This window comes from Homo sapiens, chromosome 8, assembly GCF_000001405.40.
Source record: "Homo sapiens chromosome 8, GRCh38.p14 Primary Assembly".
NCBI classification, from domain to species: Eukaryota; Metazoa; Chordata; class Mammalia; order Primates; family Hominidae; genus Homo; species Homo sapiens.
Genome location: NC_000008.11, coordinates 11,574,234 through 11,582,078, shown reverse-complemented (window position 1 = coordinate 11,582,078; position 7,845 = coordinate 11,574,234). Strand labels below are relative to the sequence as shown.

General features: G+C 51.7%; 1 long non-coding RNA gene across 1 annotated transcript; it reads right to left on the bottom strand.

The window, feature by feature from the left end:
• Window positions 1-737: 737 nt before the first annotated feature.
• On the bottom strand, window positions 738-5,544 carry LINC00208 (long intergenic non-protein coding RNA 208). The gene is made up of 3 exons (NR_040035.1): window positions 4,762-5,544; window positions 3,438-3,709; window positions 738-1,609 (listed from the first exon to the last, which is right to left on the bottom strand). It is a non-coding gene; the product is annotated as a long intergenic non-protein coding RNA 208 (long non-coding RNA).
• Between the last annotated feature and the right edge of the window lie 2,301 nt (window positions 5,545-7,845).

Sequence of the window (7,845 nt, the reverse complement as noted above, 5' to 3'; positions counted from 1 at the left end):
AGGTCAGAATTTCCTTCCTTCTTTTGTTTTGTTTGTTTTTTGAGACAGAGTTTCACTCTTTTTGTCCAGACTGGAGTGCAATGGCATGATCTCGGCTCACTGCAACCTCCGCCTCCAGTGTTCAAGGGTTCTCCTGCCTCAGCCCCCTGAGTAGCTGGGATTACATGTGCCTGCCACCACGCCCGGCTGATTTTGTATTTTTAGTAGATACAGGGTTTCACCACATTGGCCAAGCTAGTCTCAAACTCCTGACCTCAAGTGATCTGCCCACCTCAGCCTCCCAAAGTGCTGGGATTACAGGCATGAGACACTGCACCCAGCCCCAATTTCCTTCCTTTTTGAGGTTAAATAATATTCCACCACATGGATAGACCATGTTTTGCTTATTCATTCATCTGCCAATGCACACTTGGGTTGTGATATGGTTTGGCTGTGTCCCCACCCAAATCTCATCTTGATTTGTAGCTCCCATAATCCCCACATGTCATGGGTGACCCAGTGGGAGGTAATTGAATCGTGGGGGGGCAGGTTTTTTCCATACTTTTCTCATGATAGTGAATAAGTCTCTCAAGATCTGATCATTTTATAAAGGGGAGTTCCCCTGCACACTCTCTTGCCTGCTGCCATGTAAGATGTGCCTTTGCTACACCTTCACCTTCTGCTGTGATTGTGAGGCCTCCCCAGCCACGTGGAACTGTGAGTCCATTAAACCTATTTTTTTTAAATAAATGACCTAGTCTCAGATATGTCTTTATTAGCAGCTTGAGAACGGACTAATACAGATTGCTTCTACATTTGGCTATTGTGAGTCATGCTGCTATGAACATGGGTGTACAACCAACATTAATTTTACTTTAACATTTACAATAGCTGCAGGCACTCATCACTTCTAGGGGGAGGAGGAGGCATCCCTGAATTGCATGTCACGTGTCAGCAAAGGGGCCCAACTATATAAGTGCTTTGTGGCTGTAGCCTTGTGCTAGTAGATCTGAGAGACAGGGAATGGAAAGTGAGAGACCCAGGTGAGACTTGCAAGTTCACGGAGTAGAGAGGTGACATGTGAAGGACATGTGAAGCACAAAGTGAACCGATCTCGGGCTCTCCTCCCACCTCACTTGGTGAGGCCAGGTGAGCATGTTTTAAAAAGTGAGCTGATGGGGCAGGTAGGAGCCTCCCCTGTTTCCTTCCTTCCTGCAGAGACTGTCCCATAAGTGGACAGCCAGGCTAATGAAAGGCAAACCTCAGGGTCTCATCCCGTTTCTGAATTCTGCAAACTCGCTAGACTAGCCGTGGTGAGTATGTGAAACCCAGCTTCTGATCGCTCAGTGGGAGACTTTCCAGACCCCTCATGTTGCCATCCTAGCATCTCTGGTCACCTCTGTTTGCTGCTTACTCTAGAATGTGTGTGCAGAGGAAAAGAAATGGCAGCAAATATCGATCCTGCAGTGGAGATTCTTATGAGCAGTTCTGACCAAGAAGAGGAGATCAAAACCTCCTCCACACATCCAGATGGGTTGCCTCCTCCTTCTATGGGCCTGGAGGCAGGAGCATGGGCATTAGTCCAGGGTGAGTCTGATCCAGATTAAGTAGGGGAATCACCTACCTACGCCTTTAAAACAATGCAAATAACTAGTGAGAACTTTTTAAATTCATGAAGCATTTTCTTGTATTTCATCTCATTTGTGTGAGGTTGGTGGAGCAGGTGTTATTTTTCCAATGCCCACATGAAGACCGGGACACAGGCTCAGGGCAGTTGAGTGCCTGCTCCACAGTCACACGGCTGGTGAAATGCAACCTGGGCTCTTTAACTAAGGCCTGTTTCATTGAAATTGAATGTTTGTGTCCCCCTATAATTTACACATTGAATTCTGAATTCATATGGGGCCTTTGGGAGGTGATGAGGATATGAGGGTGGAGCCCTCACAAATGGGATTACTGCCCTTATAAAAGGGAACCCAATGTGCTCTCTTGCCTTCTTTCTGGCAGTTGAGGGCACAGCCAGAAGTCAGCAGTGTGCAGCCACCAAAACATGCCAGCAGCTGACCTCAGACTTCTAGCTTCAGAGCTGCAGGAAATAAATTTCCATGGCTCATAAGCTGTGTAGCCTCTGGCACTTCATTATAGCAGTCCATACTGATTGACCCACCCGGAGTCCTTCATAATGTAGAGGACTGGACTGAGGACTGGACCAGCCCAGTTCAACAGCAGTCTTTCAGCTTCAAAGTTCTGGGACACCATTGTGACACTCTCCTCACTGGCAGATGCCACAGGCTGGACTGCCCCTGTGGCTCATCCTAGGGACCTTAGCATCTGGAAAAACACTATCAGAGAGGGCAAAACTTCTGGGTGCTCACTAGTATTGAGTGCTTCTCTGTGCCTGGGCACTGCATTGTGCACTGTGCAACTAACTGAATGCTCATGACCGTTCCAGGCCATGGTAGGGAGGTAGGAGGATTATTCTCTGTTTGTAGAAGAGAAGACTAAGGTTTATAGAGGTTCCATGAAATTCAAAGGACAATATGGGAGCATGCCAGGAGTAAGTAGAAAGCCAGATGGGTAGCGTTCAGAGAACATCCCTGAACATGCCACATGCACAAGGTGTGTTAACACACCTGTGAGGCCCTGGGTCCTTGGATCAGGCCCTCCTAGGCTGGGATGTTGCCATTCTCAGCCAAGCCTGAGGCTCCCAGCCCAGGGAGACATGCCCAGCTCATCCAGATTGGCTGCGGATGCCTGGTGTTTACACCATCTTCACTGAGGTGACAGCCCCGAGCTTCCAACACAGCCCCTCCCAGCAGTGGGGAGAGTGGACATACCGGACCAGCTGCTGGCCCCAGGCTGACCCCCCTGACCCCAAAGCTGTCCCAGGGAGACAGTTATGCGGTGGGCCCAGACCACCAACGATGCAGCCAGACAAGGTGGAGTTGAAGCAAAGGGGGAGCCAGGGGGAAGGACCCCTCAGGCTTGGTCCATTCTTGGCTCCACACAGGTGTGTACTGAATGCCCACTGCTTGAGTGGACGGCAACCAAAACACTGGCCAACCTCGACTGAACACTTCACAAACACCATCTCGAGTGTCCTCACCACAGCCCAGCGGGGTGGGCCTGTTACTAACCAGATTGTGCAGCTGTGGAAACTGAGGCACAGCAGAGAGGGTCAGCCACATGCCTGAGGTTACTATGCCCTGGGGAGGGGCAGAGCCAGGACCTGCATCCAGGCGTGGCTGCATCCAGGGACCCCTGGAGCCCTGCCTCACTCCACTGCCCGGGATGGGAGCCCACTGAAATTCCCACTGGCGCCTTTCCAGCTGCATCTGCGGTGGGAATGCTGGTGTGACACAGGCACTCAGAACACCGAGGGGGAAGAGGGTGGAGTGTTTCATGGTCAGTGGGTACAGGGCCCACCACCCATCCCACCCCAGCCCCGCCCCACTTACGTGGCTTCCTCGACAGAACGCAGCTGTCGCCTGAGGGCTCGTCCAGCCACGTGGGAGGGAACTTGTCCAAGACCACAAATGGCCTTCCCAGGGTGGGGTGGCGGTGGTTGTAGTAACTCCTGAGTTCCCACCCTTGTCCCAGGAAGGCTGGGCACAATTGCAGTTCAGCTCAAGAAACAAAGCATAGCATCCTTAGCTGCACAGAGGTCATTTCCATCAGCCCCCTGCCTCCATCCACAGGCCCGGCCTTTCTGATGAAGGCCTGTCTCATACTGCAAGAAAAGGGCAAGTCATGCATTCTGTGGGCTTTTCCCCCCAAACACTGTTAGGGTGAACTGTATGAAATTGCTAATATTCAATGATTTTTGATCTACAGAATTGCAGTTTTATATGGTCCAACCTCATACTTGAGAGGTCCACATTGGCCCAACAGAATTTGCTGGGAAGCCCTGATTAGAACCCTTAAATCCTACAGTATGCCAAGTCCTTTCTCACGTGGCTGACTCTGTCCCTGCAAAGTGCTCTCCAGGGCCAGCTGTGCTGGGAGCAGCTGGGCCCACCCTGTTGGCAAACCTTGCCAATGGGGGAACGCAGGAAGGACGCTGGACTGGAGGTCAAAAGCCTTGTGACCTGGAGCAATTCACGCAACTTCCATGAGCCTTGGTTTCCTCATCTGTACCTTCCCACAGCATTATCATGCCATCCGGTGAAAGGATCTAAGTGAAGTGTCTCCCTCCAGGCCTGCACTCAGTGCCGGGTAAGTCTGTGGGGAGTGAGTTGGAATCACCGAGAACCCAGTTCAGCTCAGAAAGTCTCCATGAAGATGCACGGCCAGAACAGAACACTTCGGGATCAGCCACCCCTACCCCAGCTCCACTGCTGGGCCCTAGAGATGCCTAGGCCACTGCCAGACACTGTGGTGGCCATGTTCACCTCTCTCCATCCGACGCTTGGCCTGCTCCATCTCTTCTGCCCGTCTGCCTGGCTATTATTTTGCCAGAGGCCCTACACACTTGTTCAGGCTTGCTGGGTTGAGGGTGCTCTGGACTTGGAAGATTGCTCCCCTCAACTCTAGTCCTATTCCTCTTGGACAGACCCCTACAGCCCACCCAGCCCTCTGAAACCCCACTTCTTATAACACACCCACACTTCTACAGCACTTCCCATAACCACCCCCGTCATGGTACCATAGCCACCCGCCTTCATGACACCCCACTCCCCGTGACCCACCCACCCCAGGACACACTCACTCCTGGGGAACACACCCATCCATCCATCTTTGCATCTTTCCTGGCCTCCCGGCGAGGGGTCCCACCACTTTTACCTGCCCTGGGAAATGATCCAGGCAGAATGGAGCAGCGTCTCCACCGGCCTCTGAGAGAACCAAGAAAGTGTTGACGTTTCCCCCAGTCAGTTCCTCTAAGTCTTGATTATTGTCTCCAAGAGTTAGGGGACATTGGATGAGAGCTTTCTAAGTGCCCGGTCCTGCCCTAGGTATTCACCATAACCCTAGGAGATAAAACTGTTATAATTTTCATAAAAGAAACCTGAGGCACAGAGAATTTCAGTAACTTGCCAGAAATCACAGAGGTTGAGCCCAGGCAGAGACCAGTCTGCACACCTCCAGCTCTGAGGGTCTAAGGGTTCTTTCTGTATTGAGGCCTGGAACAGCTTCCTGCAGTCATTAATGGCATCAGAGCCCGGAGGGAGCTAGGAACAGATGCTCAGTCTCTGAGGAGACTTCTCCACAGATCGGAGATTCCTGCTAAGTCCAGTAAGGGATTTTATCCAGAATTCTCCAAAGCTCCCAAAATCTCAGACTTCAGGTGAGCCTGGACTCACAGACTAGACTCTTGCAAAGGTGAAGATTTGGAAAGTAAGGCTGTCCTGCTACTTTCAGGGGGTACTAAGGAGCTCAGGAGAGATTAACAGAGTGTTGTCAGGGAATTGCTTTAAAAGAGATTAGTGGTAAGCTCATCCAGTAGGTTTCTGGAGGTTCTTGGAAGCCTTTACAAGGTTTTTCTTCCCTACTCAGGTGAAATATATTTCTCCATTTGCATTGGTTTGGCGAATTCTATTTCCTCAAAGAGTGTGCCAGAGAAACTCCACGTTGCTTTTTCAGAGTTATAGACAAAGTTGGAAGAGACCTAACAGGGCTTCTAACCTTTCCTGTTAATGCTGAGGAAGCCAGGGTCCAGAGGTTGACCCTGATGCTGATGACGACAGTACCCGGTTCCTAACACTGGGGCCGGCTGGGTTCGAGGTGCTTGGTCTACATGACAATAGTGCTCGGTTCCTGGCACTGGGGCCAACTGGGTTTGAGGTGCTTGGTTTCCATGAGGACAGTGCCCAGTTGCTGGCACTGGGGCCAGTTGGGTTCTAGGTGCTTGGTTTCCATGACAACAGTGCCCAGTTCCTGGCACTCGGGCCAGCTGGGTTCGAGGTGCTTGGTTTTCATGTACTTGGTATCACAGGGCTTGGCATACATTTGACATCTCCCTTACTCCCATTGGGACTTCTCCTGTACCTGCTTTACAGATGAGAAAAGTGAGGCTGGGAAACCGCACAGCTGAGCTCCAGAGGCCGTGGGCCCTGCCAGGGCTCTGACTCCATGAAGGGCTCTTTCCACCTGACCCACTGCCGGGAAAGCCGGGAAGACTCCCATTCTCTGTTACTGGGCTCAAGTTAGTGATGCCTTTGTGAGCACCACGTCTCACCACCCGCAATGGAGAGGGTCCCTCGCTCACTGCCAAGGATAAGGGGGCAGAGTGTGTCACCACTTATCATGAGGGACACTGTGGGAGAGCCAGGGTGGCACTAACTAGGTTCACCGGGACCCCTGCTTTCCGGGCAGAAGACTCTGCAGTGACCTGTTACTGTGTTTGCAGTCACAGCACAAACCTGGGTTCTGGTGACCTGGTCCTGGTTCTGCTGTGTATCTTCTGGTGACCTGGGTTACTTACTATCTCTGAGTGTTTCCCCATCTCTGAAGTTAGTTAGGATTGTGTAAAGATGAAAAGGAGCCAGGCACGGTGACTCACGCCTGTAATCCTAGCACTTTGGGAGGCCGAAGTCAGTGGATTACCTGAGGTCAGGAGTTCGAGACCATCCTGGCCAACATGGTGAAACCCTGTCTCTACTAAGAATACAAAAATTAGCCGGGCATGGTGGTGAGTGCCTGTAATCCCACCTACTCAGGAGGCTGAGGCAGGAGAATCACTTGAACCCGGGAGGTGGAGGTTACAGTGAGCTGAGATTGCGCCACTGCACTCCAGCTTGGGCAACAAGACCGAAACCCTGTCTTAAAAAAAAAAAAAAAAAAAAAAAAAGATGAAAAGGAACAAAAAGAACATCCCTTGCCAGGCACAGTGGTTGGCCCTAGTAGGCAGCCATCAATGCCAGGCGCCGTGACTGTTATTGTAGGAAGTGGGGGTTCTGAAGAATGCCCTCCTTGGGATGTCATAGCCATGGAGTTGTCCCTAGTGGCCAGAAGTCCCCTCCCCCAAATTAGGATGCTGGCCTGGGTGGAGGGGAGGGGCCAGTCCTCTCGGCTGGTGGGTGCACGGCCTGGACCCCCCAGCAGCCTCTCTGGCACAGGGACAGGGACGATAAGCGGTGATGGACTGTTCTGAGGGCTCCGCGGCGGGCACAGGGAAGGCAGTGTGGTGTGGGGTGGCCTCCCCACTGATAACCTGGGGGAGGGCGCTATCGGGAGAGGAAGTGGGCAGGGAAGGGGCTGGAGGGGGCCGCTAGAGCCCCAGGGCGGGACCCAACCCCAGGGGTCACGTCATCCATTCTCTGCCACCAGGCACAATTGCACCGAACCATCCATCACTGCCTGCCGGCCTGGCTTTTTTCTTCTCCGAATGCATTAATGCACTCTCACTACAGAAGACTCCAGCAATGCGGGTAAAATGCCAGCGCCCTTCCTTATCCCTCTGCGCTGACAGCCCCAGCCGCTCCCTCCTCGGAGGTCACGGGGCTCTCTTTGGTTGGTATCACTGGGATCCCTTTGCTGCATGTTTACACAAATATGCATGTGTGTGATGAACATAAAATTGTGTGTGTGTGTGTGTGTGTGTACATCATGCTGCATGTATGTGTTTTTCTGCACCCTTTCCCCTCACTTGATAGTCTTGGCCATGTGTCAAAATCAGAACCTATGGATGTGCCCATTCATTTTTTTAAGTTTTTTTTTTTTTTTTTTAATATTTTCTGCAGAGACAGGGTCTTGCTATGTTTTCCAGGGGATGGCCTCAAACTCCTGGCTTCAAGAGACCCTCCTGCCTTGGCCTCTCAAAGTGCTGGGATTATAGGCATGAGCCACCATCCCTGGCATGCCCATTCATTTTAATGGCAGAATAGTAGTTAATAAAATAATTATGCCCTTCTAGCTGGCCCTTCGGAC